Here is a 16,626-nt window from a genome sequence, read left to right as displayed (position 1 = left end):
AGGCTGAGGCAGGAAAATCACTAGAACCCCGGAGGCAGAGGTTGCAGTGAGCCGAGATTGTGCCACTGCACTCCAGCCTGGGCAACAGAGCAAGACTCTGTCTCAAAAAAAAAAAAAAAAAAAAGAAAAAATGAAAGGACAGCCAAGGGTTACCAGATATTTTAAAAAAACCAAAACACAAGAAATCCTTACAGCATGAAAAAGATGGACCAAGATGTAAAACAAAACAAAAAGTTTGAAAACTGGCTCTAAGAGAAAATAGAGATAATTTAGAGACAAGAAAAGCATGTTTTTAAAAGTAGTATTCCCAGAATGTTTGAGAAAATACATCCATAAACCCTAAGAGTTTTCTATGAAAAATTAGAGAACAACAAACCATTTGTATAAAATTATGGATAGGATGGGGGAAGTAAAAAATTCGAAAGGTAGACGGGGCGCGGTGGCTCACGCCTGTAATCCCAGCACTGTGGGAGGCCGAGGCGGGCAGGTCACGAGGTCAGGAGATGGAGACCATCCTGGCTAACATGGTGAAATCCCGTCTCTAGTAAAAATACAAAAATTAGCTGAGCATGGTGGCGGGTGCCTGTAGTCCCAGCTACTCAGGAGGCTGAGGCAGTAGAATGGACTGAACCCAGGAGGCGGAGGTTGCAGTGAGCCGAGATCACACCACTGCACTCCAGCCTGGACGGCAGAGTGAGACTCCATCTCAAAAAAAAAAAAAAAAAATCGAAAGCTGAAATAAAAAGTCAAGGCCATCTCCCAATGGGAGCAAAAGACAAAAAGATTAACATGAGAGAAAAGTTAGGAGACAGACCCTCCATCGAGGAGGCACACTCTATCTAATAAGATTCCGGAGAGAGAAAACAGCCACAAAGTAAAATAAGAGGGAAGAAAACAAAGAAAAACATAAAGATGCGCTTTCAGATCTCGCAGGCTCCTGTAATGCTGAGTAGGATGAATGGAAAGCCTCCCACGGAGGCAGATGCATCTGCAAGCCTGGCATACAAAGGGCAAAGAGGAGATGGCAACGTTCCACTCAGGCACACAGACTCCACGCTCGTCTCAAAATCTGCAGAGCAAAAAATGCAGATTTTCCTGTTTATTACAACGGGAAAAGACAAGGGTTAGATCACGATGCTTCTATTTTTAGGCGCGTACACCGCCAGCTCACCCGGGGTCCCAGTGGCCCTCCTTCCCTTCTCTGTGGAACGCGTGGCCTCAGGGTCTCTCAGTGGGGCATGGCAGGAGTGAGGGCAGGTTGGGGTTCTGAAAGTCAGGGCTCCATGCTTGGCAGGCCTCTAGGAAGACTCCCAGGGGTACAAGCAGAGACCTCGTGTGGCACCCATAGCCCTGTAGGCACTTCCCTATCTTTCCAAGCCGCCTCCCTCTGCTGAGACAGGAGCTGGGGAAGTGAATAGGTCTCATTATCCATCTTCCTCAGTTTGACGTGGGGTCTCTGCGTCATGAACTTCTGCCACCCTCCCCCTGGCCCTGGGCTGTCGTAGGCCACTGGCCTCATCTTCTACGGCGGCTCTGACCTCCCAGTCCGCACCAGCCAGCCCCCTGCTGGGATATTCTGCAGGGTAGTGTGGCCCATCGGCTGAACAGCTTTGCAGCCTTCTGCGGCATTATGGAAACAGGTCTAGCTAGGGTCTCAAGGACCCCAGAGAAACACGGGGAGACCCAAGAAACGCCCCCCAGAGGAGGTGGGCTTGGAGGGTGTGATACCAGGCAGACGAGGGGCAGGATGCCTCTAGCAGAGAGAGGTGTGGAAGCAGGTGCTGCTCAGGGGCCACTCAGTGAGGCAGGCAGGGGGCAGAGGCAGGTGGCGTGAAAGAGAACGGCAGGCAGGAAAGTCAGGTGTCAGACAAGCCATAGCAGGTGACATCTGACTAAGCAGAGGGCCCCAGCTGCAGTGTGGCTGTTACAGGCAGAACGGCCACGGGGCTTGTGTGGTGACGGGCTGGGGGCCTGCTGTCAGCCAGATGTCACAGGCTATGAGCTGTCTGCTGTGGTGTCTTCTGAGCTGTGCCAGCCGGGGGCAGTTGCCTGTGGTAGAGAGGGCATTGGGGCCTTGAGGAGAAGCAGCGCCTGGGAGTTAGGCCAGGCCTCACCTTCCCGGCCAGGCTATGGCAGCATCTGGAGCCGCCTCTTGTCTCCTCCCAGGCTATGCTCCTGTCACCGGCATGTGCCATCCGGTCCGCAGCTGCACCCTGAACCATGAGGACGGCTTCTCCTCAGCGTTTGTGGTGGCCCATGAGACTGGCCACGTGTAAGTGGCCTGGGGAAGGGTGGGGCACAGAGGGGCCACCCTAGGATCCCCAGCCCTGGCTGCCCACTTCTCCTCTGTGCCTTAAGAGGGACACGCCCTGTGTCAAAGCCACTTGGGGTGTGGTCTCCTGTCTTCCCAGCGCTGGGCAGTGCTGGCCCGAGGCCCACTTTTGCTGAAGGAACCAATTGAAGGAGGAAGGGCTTGCCTGCAGACTGAGCAGGCGCTCTGGGCCAGCTAGAGCTGGGGACCTTGCCCCATTATCACATCCAAGCCCCCAGGCAGGGTGGGCTCTACCCCATGTTATAGAGGAGGCTCGGAGGTTTGGAGGGTGGCTCGCCCTGGGTTAGAAACCTGGAGGCAGGGAAGCCACGGTCCCCCCCAGGTGTGCATGCCCCTCCTGGGGACAGGATACCTGGGGGACTGCCCGCTGGACACTGTCTCCCCAGAGTGCCTCGGCTTTCAAATTGCAGCAGGTAGATGGTCGGTGCCACCCGGCTCAGAGTGGGCCAAGGTCAGGAGGCCCGTTGGGGAAAGATGGGGCACCCTCCTATCATCGGGGTGGGGTGGGACTGGCAGACCCGTGTGCCAGTGGGATTCAGCCAGCTGCCTCGGCCCTCGCAGGCTGGGCATGGAGCACGACGGGCAGGGCAACCGCTGTGGCGACGAGGTGCGGCTGGGCAGCATCATGGCGCCCCTGGTGCAGGCCGCCTTCCACCGCTTCCACTGGTCCCGCTGCAGCCAGCAGGAGCTGAGCCGCTACCTGCAGTGAGTACTGCCCATGTGCCCCGTGGGCGACCCCTCAGTCCCTGGGGTCAGCTCTGGGAGGGTGCAAGTCCCCATGCACCAGAGCCAGAGCCCTCCGACCTCAGGTCCTCTAAGCTTGTGTGCGGGGGAGGAGAGAGGGCACACCTGTGAGAGAAGCCTGGTGTCTGGAGGAGAACCCATTGTCAGGGGTCTGTCCTTGAATGGCAAGTGGGCACGGCGGCTACCCTGGGGTCCGCTCAAGCCAGGTCCTGGTGTCTTACACCAAGGACAAGAGATGCAGCAGGGAAACTGAGGCAGCACAGCCAGGGGCCGGGATGTGCAGGTAGGGCTGCCATGGCAGCTCCAGCAGGGGCCTCAGCTGCCTCCAGGGCTGTGGATGGTCAGCCGCGCTGAAGGCTGCTCGCGGCACCGTGTGTCCCCCACAGCTCCTATGACTGCCTGCTGGATGACCCCTTCGCCCACGACTGGCCGGCGCTGCCCCAGCTCCCGGGACTGCACTACTCCATGAACGAGCAATGCCGCTTTGACTTCGGCCTGGGCTACATGATGTGCACGGCGGTGAGTGTGCAGCCCTGCAGCCGGGACCCTCCCAGGTCTGGGGGGAGGCGTGCTGGTGTAGGGGCAGCTCCCGGGACAGTGTGAGGACCGGCCCAGTGTGGGGAGGGCAGAGCGGCCCTCCAGAGTGGCAGCCTGTCCCTCTGCACCCACCACTCCCCACCCCCTAGGCACCCTGAGCCCACCTGGCAGGCCCAGACGTGGTCCTAGGCAGGAAGCACACGGGGGACAGGACTGTGACCAGGGTGTCAGCCAGGGGCAGTGAGAGCCTGCAGAGGTCAGGAGGGCTCCCAAGGAAGAAGGGAGGCCTGCAGGCTAAGCGGAAGGAGAGGGCATTCAGGAAGGGAGGGCCACGGACGCAGAGGCCACGGACGCAGAGGCCTGGAGGAGAGCGCGGCAGGCACAGGAGCACTCGCTGCTCTCCAGGGCCAAGTGCCAGGGCTGAGCCGTCAGAGGAACCGGCCATCGGCATGGAGGCCACACTGTGGGAGCTTCAGTGTCTATGAGCGTCTTAATGCTCGCCTCTGCTGCATGAAGGAAAGAAGCAAAGTAGTCCCATTTTACAGATGAGGAAACAGAGACCCGGAGAGGCTAGGTAACCTGCCTGAGCCCACAAAGCGAGCAAGTGGTAGAGTCGAGTACCAACGCAGGAGGGCCACCTCCTTCCAAGACTCCCTAAGGAGCACAGTGGACTCGATTCTCATGGCGATGGGGGCTCTGGAAAGGCTTGAGTAGGGGAGGCTCAGGGCCACGTCTGAGTTTCAGCTGATCCCTCAGGGACGTCCTGCAGGAAGTGCTATCAGGACAGGAAGCAGAAAGGCCAGGGAACAGGACTGTGAAGTCCAGGGGAGGCCGAGGCTGCAGAGAGGGCAGGCCTGTGGGGGTGGGGGTAGGGCTTCGCCAGGGTTTAGGAGGGAAATCCACGGCAAAGGGTCAGCAGGTGCCCACCTAGCCTCAGGCTGGCACTTAGGGCCCAGCTGCCCGCCAGGCTCCCTGAGGTGTGCAGCCTCCAAAGACTGGAGGCAGAGAGGCCCAGCCGCGTCCAGGGATGCTGCAGCCTCCACACCGTATGGGCAAGGTCTTCACCACCCCAGAATCACAACACCCACCAGCCTCACGGGCCCATCATGGGCCAGTCCCACTGGGGCATCTCAGGTTCCAGAACCCGGGGGTGGGTGGCATCCCTGGGAGGTCCCTGAGGTGGGAGGGACCTGGCAAGCTATGGTGCTGTCTTCCAGTTCCGGACCTTTGACCCCTGCAAGCAGCTGTGGTGCAGCCATCCTGACAACCCCTACTTTTGCAAGACCAAGAAGGGGCCCCCCTTGGACGGGACTATGTGTGCACCTGGCAAGGTGAGGCAGCATCAAGGGCTCTTGGAGGGCAGCAGGGCAGAGGACAGGAATCTTAGGTGCCCGGGTCACCAGGGACAGGCCCTGAAGTGGGGGTGGGGGCCCTCTCAGGGGACCTCTGCTGCCCTCTCCTTTCCCCCTTCTAATTACCCCTCACACGCTGTACGCCGGAGCTGCCTCCACCCTGTGCTTCTGATGCTGGAGCACACCTGGCATCTGAGAGTTCCTCATGGTGCTTCATGCCCCCCACTCAGGAATCCCCCTTTAAGGAGCAATTTCTGGGGTCCTGGCAGCCTTCGGTCACCCCTGGGCACTGTGGGTCACCTCACCTGGAGGCCAGCATTGGAGTCCTCGGGCCCAGCATGAGGCTTAACCTTTCCATCCCCAGGACCTCAGTGTTTGTCCCTTGTTGGGCACACTGTCCTTCGAGGTCCCTTGATGGCTGCCCCAGGCCCACTTCCCACCCTCTGGTGACTCTTGAAAGAAGGACTTCTTCCCTGTTGTCCTCCCAGAACTCCAGACCTGATTCTCATTTGTTCAGATGAAATCACACACCCACTCCTCAGCCAGTTACTTGCTAGGGGGCTGGCATATGCAGATGAGCTAAGCCTGGATCCCCACCCAGGAAGGCTCAGCCCCACTGAGACCACCTTGGCCCTGCAGTGGGGGCAGGGAGTAGGGAGTGGACACCGGTGCACATCCCAGCCAGGCCTAGGACGCCCCCAAACTGTATGGACCTGTGGCTCCTTGATGGAAGTCTTTGGCTCGGGACTGGGCCAGCTGCCTAATTTTAGTCTCTGGCGGAGCTTCTGAAAGAAACAAATTCCCAGGCCCATCCTTGAAGACTTTTGTTTGGGGTAGGATCCAATAATTGTTTTTGGTGTTCTTTTTTAAACTATGGTAAAAATTCTCACAAAATTCACTATCTGAACCACTTTACACAGTTCAGGCCGGGCGCGGTGGCTCATGCCTGTTATCCCAGCACTTTGGGAGGCCAAGGTAGGTGGATCGCCTGAGGTCAGAAGTTCAAGACAAGTCTGGTTAACATGGCAAAATCCCGTCTCTACTAAAAATACAAAAATTAGCTGGGCGCGGTGGTGGGTGCCTGTAATCCCAGCTACTCCGGAGGCTGAGGCATGAAAATCGTTTGAGCCCAGGAGGCGGAGGTTGCGGTGAGCCAAGATCGCGTCGCTGCTCTCCAGTCTGGATCACACAGCAAGACCCTGTCTCAAAAAATAAAAATAAAAGTGAAGTGCACCATTCGGTGGCATTTAGTACATTTGCAATATTGGGCAACCATCGCCACTACCCGGTCCCAGAGCTTTTCATCCCTGCAAAAAGGAAGCGCCATTTATCAGTCACCTCTCCCCTCCCTCCTCGCCCCATCCCCTGGCTAGCACCAACCTGCTTTCTGTCTCTATAGAGTTGCCTATTCCGGAATTTCATATAAATGGAATCATATATATGTGGCCTTTTGTGTCTGACTCACTTCATTCAGCAGAATGTTTCCAAGGGCCATCCTGTGTGGCATCTATCCACATTCCATTTCTCTCGATCGCTGAATAACCTCCCGTCGTGTGGGTGTGCCACATTTGGTGTATCCGTTTCTCCACGGAGGGACATTTGGTTGGTTTCCACCTTTTGGCCGTCGTGAGTCACGCCGCTGTGAACATTTGTGTATAAGGTTTTGTTCGAAGACCTGGGAATTGGTGTTTTTAAGATGTGCCCAGACTTAATGAAGGGTTAGAAGTCCGAAGTGAGTTGTTGGTAAGTTGCTGGGGGCCCAGTGAGGCCAGAACCACCCAGCTATTCCCCTTCCCACAGGCCCTCAGCAGAAGGAGCGGGGCAGAACATCTGCCGTGGCCCCAGGGGGAGCTTCGGAAAAGCTGAGTTGGAGAACAAGGCCAGCTAAGCATGGCTCCCCGCCCGCCGCACCCACCCCAGGCAGGGAGGAGGCAGAGGGAATGGGAGGCAGGCCCTGCACAGGCATGCTGGTTCAGGGAGCAGGAGCAGGAGCAGGAGCTGGTGGGGCCCCCATATGTGTGTGTGTGGCTGGCCTGCACCCCAGCTGATTGCCCCCTGCTTTTCCTGCAAGGTAGAAGTGGGGCAGAGGGAGGTCTGGTAAGGACAGTGAGCAGATGCAACCGAAGTGTCCCCACCTCACAGAGACCACCCACCTGGCCGCAGCCCTTCACTCATTTTGGTGGTAGGATCCTCTGCATTTAGCCCAGTAAGTGAAATTGCCTTTTATGTATTAAAGATAGTTGTGCTGACTGAGGGGCAGAGCTGGGGCTCTGCTCAGCCTCCCCTGGTTCCCGAGGAGCACAGGCTGGAACCGACCTAGATCAGGATTCGGTGTGGGGATGTTGGGGGAACGTGGAAGACGGGCTCCTCCCGGGCTGCTGTCAGAATCCCTGAATGTGGGTCTGTATGTTTCCCTGTCCTGTGCATCACTGTTCTCTCACGCTGTGATTTTACATCTGGAAAGCAATCATCTTCTCTCCCACCCTTTCCCGCAAGGACCCTGAGTGGTCATGCCCAGCTTCCATTTCCAGGTTAGGCACCGTCTTGCCCAGTTGGGACAGGAGGACCACTGCGTGGCTCCTTCCATCCTCCTGGCTCCTGGTTCCTGCGGCCACCAGTGACTTAGAGTCTGCCCCGGCCGCAGCCTTCCACGGTGCCAGGACAGCTCACACTCCATCTTCCTCAGCTTCGGCTGCTCTAACAGAAATACCGCAGACTGGGTGGCTTACACAACAGAGCCTTGTTCTTCGCAGTCCTGGAGGCTGGGAAGCCCAAGGTCAGGGTGCCAGCAAGGTTGGCTTCTGGGAGGACCCTCTTCCTGGCTTGCCATCTTCCTGTGGTCTCCTCACATGGCAGGGAGAGAGGGCATCTCTCTCAGGTCTCTTCTCATGAGGACATCAGTCCCACTCATGAGGGCCATCACCTAACGCTTCCCGAAGGCCCCCACACTGGGGGTTAGGGCTTCACCATATGAATTTGAGGGGACACACGCACTCAGGCCACAGCACTGCCTTACCTGGGCCCCTCCTCGCCTGCAACCCCACCTGCGCCACTGGCTGAGGGGAACGCCAGCCAGCATTTCTCTGGGTTGTTCCCCTCCCCTCCATGCTCGAGTGAGGGGAGCTTTGGGGGCAAGAGATGAGGTAATGGTGCCAGGAAAGAGATGGCTAGGACCCCCCAGGGGCCGGGAGCCAGGCCTGCCTGGCCCCAGCCAGTTCCTGTTGGCCCAGCCTGATGGGAGGAGCCCTTGACCACCTGCCCACAGTACCCCCCTCCGTCTGGGAGGGAGAATCCAGAGTGGCGGCCTCTGCAGTCCCCACGTGGCTCAGACTGCCACAAAGGCAGGTCTGGGAGGGTTTTAGCAAGGCATGAGAATGAGGGGCCTTTGCTAGGAAGGAAGGGGAGATGTGGGCACAGGTGGGCGCTAGGTGGGGCTTGCCCGAGCGAGGAGGACCAGGAAGGAAGCACGGGAGGGGAGCAGCTCAGGCATGGACACAGGAGGACGGCTCCCCAGCAATGACCTCAGACACAGAGACCTGGTGGCAGGAATTCCAGGGCGCACTTTCAGGGCCAGCACCGTGGGGAGAGTGAGGCACTGCACAGGGATGCGACCTCAGCAGAGGGCTCGGCCAGCGCCACGTGCAGCTCTGGAGCCTTTCAGAGTTGGCCCAATTGAAGCAACGTTTGAACCGCAACCCTGACCAGTCACTGGCTATGGCTGTCTGCAGGAAAGGGGACTGTTCCTGGGGGCTGTTCCTGGAGAAGAACTCAGCTGTGAGCCATGAGCAGCCCACATGCTCCACAGCTTGAGGAATAAACGACTTGGTCCTGAAGAGGGATCTGGGTGGCACAGCACAGGGTCTGCTGTGCCAGGCGTGTGTTGAGGAGATGGAGGCGTGCACAGGGGCAGGGAGGGAAGGGAGTGCGGTCTGTTCAGAGCCGCCAGCGCTGCAGTGCTGCTGTGCTGGGGGAAGGTGACCCTGAGGCGTAAGTAGAGGCCAGTCGTACCGAGTCTTTGATGCCAGCCACAGGGCTTGTCCTGCTGCGAGTGGGGAGCCATGGAGGGGCTTTGGGAGGGAAGCAGAAGTCGATTTACCATGAAGCTCATGATGCTTACGCTTTGGGGTCCCTTGCTCACAGGAGCCCCTTCCGAGACCCTGGGAGAGGCCAAGCCATGTGTTTACATGGTCACATTTTTGTAAATTTTGCAAAAATAAGATATTTTAACCATACTTGATTAACAGCACTTCTCTTTTCATTCCTGCTTCTCATTGATACAATTCTCCTCCCGTGGGTGCCACTGATACACTTCCCCTCCTGTGGGTGCCATTAGAATGGCCTTGGGCATTTTGCTGCTTTGGCTACAGAGAAAATGGATTGAGGGCATTTGTTTTGGCTTATTGCCATGATTCTGTCTCTTACAAGTAGAGTTAAATGATTGTGTCTGTCCAGGTGTAATAGTAGCTTCCAGAAATACTCGCCACACCGCTGTGCCAACTCATCTAGGGTCATTGCAGAATACAGGCTGTGTGCTGGCCATTTCCCTCAGATCTTTGCAGAAAAAGGTGCCTCAGCGGTACCGGAGGTTGTCACTACTTCTATATGGGCAGTATTTTGTTTGATTTTTAGGTTTGTTTTATAGATGGAGTACTTTAAACACAGATCCAACATGGATATTTCTTTAGAAAGGCCAAGTGTAACAAGATGGTCTGCTTGTTCAAAAGCTGGCTTAGGCCAGGTGTGATGGCTCACACCTGTAATCCCGACACTTTGGGAGGCCGAGGTGGGCGGATTACTTGAGATCAGGAGTTCGAGACCAGCCTGGCCAACATGGTGAAACCCCATCTCTACTAAAAATACAAAAATTAGCCAGGCATGGTGGCGCATGCCTATAGTCCTAGCTACTGGGGAGGCTGAGGCAGGAGAATCACTTGAACCCGGGAGGTGGAGCTTGCAGTGAGTCAAGATCATGCCACTGCACTCCAGCCTGGACGACAGAGTGAGACTCCATCTCAAAACGATAAATAAATAAAACATAAATAAATAAAAGTTAGCCTAGCCTCACAACATATGGATGACAATAAATGAAGGGCTCTAAAAAATTTCAAAGACAGAAGAGAAACCGCAATGAAAGCGAGATGCAGAAATGTTGGTTACGTCTGAAGGCACTGTTTTCACTTCCGTTTTGAAAGTGGCTTGGGAATGTTTCCATAAAATAAGGAAGAAATGACAGACTGTGATTTGGATATATGTATCAAATATACCTTTTATCATTTTCTAATTTATTTATTAGAAAGGAAAGAAAATTCAGATAAAAATTAATGGGATATGAAACTAAAGTAGTAGAAAATGAGCAAGGAAATAAAAAAAATAATAACTCTGACTTCAAAAAGCTCATTGTCACCAAAAAAGAAAGGTTTTATATCAAACCAAAAGCAGTTGCTCATTAGGAGGAAGAGACACATATCAAAGAAGTTAACAGGCCTTGGAGCGTTTGACAGTCTCATTAACGAAGAGGAGTGAATCTGATGAACACATAGGAAAATGGTTCAGACATCTTTCTGATTTGCCATGAAATGTTGACAACATCAAAGACGCCAGGGAGCTGCGAACGCTGCCACTGCAGTCAGGGCGTCCACGGCAACTGCTACTGAGCGTTGCTCATCCAAAGAGTGTCTTAAAGTCAAGCTCCCACAGAGAAAACTTGAAATGCCCTGAAAACCACATCAAGGACGGAAACCAGAGAGCACCTCCTCCAAATGTCATCATCCTAAATGTTCAGATGGCGTCACCCATAACTTCTTTAAAGTACTGATCATTTTTTAAAAAGAAAGAATTTCCCTCAATATGCCAGGGCCAAGTGCTGGCCAACTCCATCTGCTGCCTGTTTGGTTGGTATTGGTTTTTTTCCCTAACAGCTTTAATAAGGTGAGATCTATATTTAAATTCACTTTTTAAAGTGTACAGGCCGGGTGCAGTGGCTCATGCCTGTAATCCCAGCAGTTTGGGAGGCTGAGGCAGGAGGATCACCTGAGGTCAGGAGTTTGAGACCAGCCTGGCCAACATGGTGAAACCCTGTCTCTGCTAAAAATACAAAAAAATTAGCTGGGCCTTGTGGTGGGCACCTATAATCCCAACTACTCAGGAGGCTGAAGCAGGAGAATCACTTGAACCCGGGAAGCAGAGGTTGCGGTGAGCCGAGATCTCGCCACTTCGCTCCAGCCGGGACAACAAGAGCGAAACTTCGTCTCAAAAATAAATAAATAAGTAAAAGAGAGTGTACAATTCAGTGATTTTCAGTGTATTCATAGAGTTTTACAGCCATCACAACAAACAAGCGCTGGAACATTTTTGTCACTCTGAAAAGTTCCAAACCCTTTAGTAGTCACCTCAATCCATCCTACTCTCGCCCAACTCCAGATAGCCACTCGTAGCCACTCATCCTCTTGCTGTCTTTATCGATTTTCCAATTCTGGACATTTCATATCAATGGAATCATACAACATGGGACATTTTGCGCCTGGCGTCTTTCACTTGGCATAATGTTCACAGGGCTCATCCCTGTTGTAGTGTGCAGCAGCCCTGCATTCCTTCCTGTTGCTGAATACTAATCCACTGTGTGGGTATTCATCATTTATTAGTTGATGGACATTTGGGTTGTTTCCACCTTTCGGTAATGATGGGAAATACCGCACAAACATTCGTGTACAAAGTATTGCGTGCATGGGTCGTTTTTCTTGGATGTACACCTAGAAATGGAATCATTGGATTTTATGGTAACTCCATGTTTGACATTTTGAGGAACTGCCAGTTTCCCAAAGCAGCCTGTTTTACATTCCAACTGGCAATGATGCTTCAGATTTCTCCATATCCTCCCCAAAACTTGTTATTTTATTTGTTATACCAATCCTAGTGCATGTGAAGTGATATATCTCATTGGGGTTTTGATTTGTATTTCCCTAGTGACCTATGATGACCGTCTTTTCATGTGCTTAATGGCAATTTGTATATATTTTTTGTATAAATGTCTATTTAGATCCTTTGCTTATTTTTTCATGGAGTTATTTATATTTTTATTATTGAATCCTAAGAGTTTTTTATTTATTCTGGATACAAGTCTGTTATCACACTCACCAGTGTAAGTGGTCTGCAAATATTTCCTCCCATTCTGTGGGTTGTCTTTTCACTTTCGTGATGGCATCATTGAGGTGCAAAAGTGTTTAATTTTGATGAAGTCTAATTTATCTATTTTTACTTTTATCACCTGTGCTTTTGGTGTTGTATTTGAGAAACCATTACTTAGGTCAAGAAGATTTACTCCTATGTTTTATTCTCAGAGTTTCAGCTCTTACATTGACATCTGTGATCCATTTTTGAGTTAATTTTTGTGTAAGTGTGAGGAAGATGTCCAACGTCATTCTTTTGCATGTGAATATCCAGTTGTCTCAGAACCATTCGTTGAAGAGACTATTCCTTTTCCATTGAATTGTCAAAGTTTAACTTATCAAATGTAAAGGTTTAGTTCTAGGCTTTTGTTCTATTCCGTCGGTATATTTGTCTGTCCTTATGCCAGGGATACACTGTCTTGATTACTGTAGTTTAATAGTAAGCTTCGAAATGGTGAAGTGTCTTCCCACTTTGCTCTTTTTTCAATATTATTTTGGCTATTCTACATCCTGTGACTTTCCATATGAATTTTAGGAGCAGCTTCTCAACTTTGCAAAATTCTAGTCTGCATTTTGATAGGAATTATGTTGAACCTGTAGATCAGTGTGAAAGTATTTCCATTTTAACACTGATCAATGAACATTGAGATGTCTTTCCATTTACTTAGAACTTGAACTTCTTTCAATGATGTATTGTAATTTTTAGTGGACACGTTTTGCATTCCTTTTGTTCAATTTATTACTAAGGTTCTTTTTTTCTTTTTGGTGCTATTGTAAATGGAGTTATTTTCTTAATTTCATTTTTAAATCATTTATTACTAGTTTATAGAAATGCAGTTGATTTTTTTGTATATTGGTCTTGTTTCCTGAAACCTCAGTTAATTTGTTTGTTAGCTTTAAGTTTTGTAGGGGATTCTTTGGGATTTTCTATACAGAAGATCATTTTGTCTGAAAATAAAGATAATATACTGTTTTAACTGCCATTTTGAAAGTGGTTCCAGAATGTTTTGATAAAATAAGGGAGAAATGACAGACTCTGATTGGAATATATGTGTAAAAAGTACCTTCTTTTATTATTTTCAAATATATTTGTTAAAGGAAAGAAAATTCAGATAAAAATTAATGGAATATGGAACTAAAGTAATAAAAAATGGGCGATGAAATCAAGAAAAATGACTGACTTCAAAAAGCTCCTTGTCACACACACACACAAATCTATTCCGTTGCTTTTCGTGTGCTTAATGGCTATTTGTCCTCACGTCAGCAGGGACGAAAGGGCAAAAAGGGACCTCGCTAGCTCCCTCTGGCGCTTTTATAAGGCCCCCAATCCCATCCAGGATGACCTCATGGCCTAAGGATCTCCTTAAGGCCCCACCTCTTAAAACTGTCTATGTTCAAGTTCACTGATTGCATCTGCTGCCAGCTCAAATCTACCACTGAGCCAGCTAATTAGTTTATCTTTTAAGTTTTTGTACCATTCAACTCCAGAATTTCTATTTAGTTCTTCTTTTTTTTTTTTTTTTTTCGAGACAGAGTCTCTGTTACCCAGCCTGGAGCGCAGTGGCGCGATCTCAGCTCACTGCAACCTCCACCTCCCGGGTTCAAGAGATTCTCCTGTCTCAGCCTCCGAGTAGCTGGGAATCACAGGTTGTACCACCATGCCTGGCTAATTTTTGTATTTTTAATAGAGACAGGGTTTCACCATGTTGGCCAGGCTGGTCCAGAACTCCTGACCTCAGGTGATCTGCCCCCCTCGGCCTCCCAAAGTGCTGGGACTACAGGTGTGAGCCATTGCACTCAGCCTCTATTCAGTTCTTTTTATAATTTCTATCTCTTTACTGAGATTCTCCATTTGGTGACACGTCATTCCTGTACTCTCCTTTAGTTCTTTAGACATGATTTCCTTTTGTTCTTTAAACACATTACTTATAGCTGCTTTGAAATCTTTGTCTGCTGAGTCAGACATCTGGGCCTCCTCAGTGGTAGTTTCTGTCACCTGCTTCATTTCCTGCGTATGGGTCACACTTTCCTGTTTCTTTTCATGGCTCAGAAAGTTTCCTTGAAAACTGGAAACTTTAGATAATACATTGAAGAAACTGGATAATGATCCCCTGGGCCTTGCTGCTACTGTTTGCTTGTTGATTTTAGTGCCCTGGTCCTGCTGTTTCAATGAAGCTTATGTCCCCTGCAGTGTGCAGCCACTGATATTGCTCCCCAGAGGTCACAGCCTTGGTCATATGCAGTCACCCTGACTGCACCCCTGCCCCTAATGCCCTGGGGTAGTGGCATTAGCCAGGCTCTTTGACTATCTCTTTCCCAGATCTTTCCATTAAGCTTCTGGTCATTCTGCCTGTATTGCTATCACACCCAACTGTTAGCCTTCACTAACTGCTAGCTGCTACTAACAGCTAGTGCGATTGATTGCTGTATTGTTTTTGACAGTGTCCTGGGGTATATAGCTTGCTCTACAATATGACCTAATTAAATTCTAGACCTTTCACAGGGGCAGGGTGTTGCCAGTATCTGAGGTGTATTGAGACCTTCAGGAGGGCTCTTAGCTGTCTTTGTCCCTGGTTCTGTCTGTTTAACTTCTACAGGTTGAGCATCCTTAATCTGAAAATCTGAAATCCGAAACACTTCTGGTTCCAAACGCTTCTGGTTCCGAGCATTTCAGATAAGGGACACTCAACCTGTAGCTGGTTTAACATTTTGTTTGTTGCTATTAGGACCATTGGCCTCCTCTTAATTGCTCACTGCTAAGACCCTTGTTGTTTTTGACAGTGCCCTTAGACATGAACATCCTCCACGCTCTGTTTCAGATCAAAGTCAGTCCCCTTAGGGAGAGCTGTGAAGCCTTCTGTTCTGACTCTCCCTCTGGGCAGGCCCCTGCACCACTGAGCCAGAGCTAAAGGAGCAGGGTCAGTGGCCTGCTTCTCCCAGAGTGACATTCCTGGCCTACAGACTGCTCACTAGATGGGAATGGTAGCCACTAGTCTTCTGGGCTTGCCCCTTTCAACATGGAACCTCTACCCTATAAGCAATCTGGGGAGGGGCTATCAGGTCCACCATTCTTGGCCTGGTGTACCTGGAGCAGAGCTTGTGCCCTATGAGTGGGGCCTGGGTGGGGGAAGGGGGCCCCAGGCCTCTTGGCCATCCCACCAGAGAGAGACTCTGCAACAGAGTTGAGAGGGATGACACCAGTGGCCTGGGTTTCTCAGTATGAAACTGTAGCCTCAGACCGGGAGCTTGGAGTAGAGGCAGCCCCGTCTTCTTGGCAGTAAAGCTTCTGTCACACTGAGCTAGGGCAGGAATGGGGGAGGGCTGTGGCTCCAATGCCATAGACTTTTGCTTTTCTTACCAAGATTTAATAGATTTTCTTGAGAAAAAAAAAAAGCTTCTTCATTTGTTGTTTAGACCTTAGGACAATTTCCAGAGACTTTAAATGGCTGCTTTTTAAAAACTAATTTTCGTCAGTTACTGGGGAGAGGGTTCACCAACCTCCTTACACTTCCATTCAAAGTTTCTGTTTGCTGCCTGTTTTTGTAAATAAAGTTTACAAAATAAAGTTCCAATAAGGAACACAGCCATGTCCATTCATTTATAGGTTGTCTATAGCTGCTTTCAAGCTCTGATGGCAGAATTGATTAATTGCAACAGAGATTATATAGCCTGCAAAGTCTACAATAGTTACTCTCTGGCCCTTTTACAGAAAGAATTTGCTGAGGAATGGTTTGCTGAGAAGAGTTTGCCAAGGAATGGCTGCGTTCTCTTTCTGTTCTCTTTGTGGAAACAGTGCTACAAAATTAGGTCATACAAAGAAGGGTTAAAGAGTATGCAGTCGGCCGGGCGCGGTGGCTCACGCCTGTAATCCTAGCACTTTGGAAGGCTGAGGCAGGTGGATCACCTGAGGTCAGGAGTTCGAGACCAGCCTGGCCAACATGGCAAAACCCTGTGTCTACTAAAAATAAAAAAAAAAAAAATGCAAAAATTAGCTGGGGGTGGTGGTGGACACCTGTAATCCCAGCTACTCGGGAGGCTGAGGCAAGAGAATCGCTTGAACCCAGGAGGCGGAGGTTGCAGTGAGCCAAGATCGTCACTGCACTCCAACCTGGGGGGACAGAGTGAGACTCTGTCTCAAAAAAAAAAAAAAAAAAAGAGCATGCAGTCGGAACTGAAGGAAAAGTTCTGTCAGTCAATGTATTAGAAGTCCTTGTTCTCTGTTTTTTGGTTGTTTGGTCATTGTCAGTTTTAAAACGTTTTTGTGTGATGTATTTTCTCATTTCAAGTCAATAACCCATTTTGCACCTAATTTAATTCTTTAATTTTGCAATCTTCTTCTTAAAGTGGGTCCCCTAAACTGTAGACGCTTCCTCCCCCTAGAGGAATGAGAGCACTGTGATCAGATTAAGATGTGGAATCATTTTTCCTACATGCCAGCATTGGACTTTATTCCTGGTTTTTACCATGTCAGCATATTACTTGTCCCTTTTTTCCA

The 16,626-nt window shown here is 50.7% G+C and overlaps 1 protein-coding gene across 4 annotated transcripts in view; it reads left to right on the top strand.

Moving 5' to 3' along the window:
- The window catches only part of ADAMTS2 (ADAM metallopeptidase with thrombospondin type 1 motif 2), a 234,609-nt gene that overhangs the window by 188,376 nt on the left and 29,607 nt on the right, over window positions 1-16,626 (top strand). For 3 of the 4 annotated variants that reach the window (NM_014244.5, XM_047417895.1, XM_047417896.1), the window contains 4 exons: window positions 2,167-2,272; window positions 2,894-3,037; window positions 3,463-3,595; window positions 4,831-4,944. In NM_014244.5, coding sequence (NP_055059.2) covers window positions 2,167-2,272; window positions 2,894-3,037; window positions 3,463-3,595; window positions 4,831-4,944 — 497 coding nt within the window. Of the gene's footprint in view, window positions 1-2,166; window positions 2,273-2,893; window positions 3,038-3,462; window positions 3,596-4,830; window positions 4,945-5,885; window positions 6,412-16,626 lie in introns of those variants that run through there. The other variant, NM_021599.4, reaches the window with a different exon arrangement.

Source organism: Homo sapiens, chromosome 5, assembly GCF_000001405.40.
Source record: "Homo sapiens chromosome 5, GRCh38.p14 Primary Assembly".
Lineage (NCBI taxonomy): Eukaryota > Metazoa > Chordata > Mammalia > Primates > Hominidae > Homo > Homo sapiens.
The sequence above is the reverse complement of the archived record's forward strand: the minus strand, read 5'-3'. Positions and strand labels throughout refer to the sequence as shown.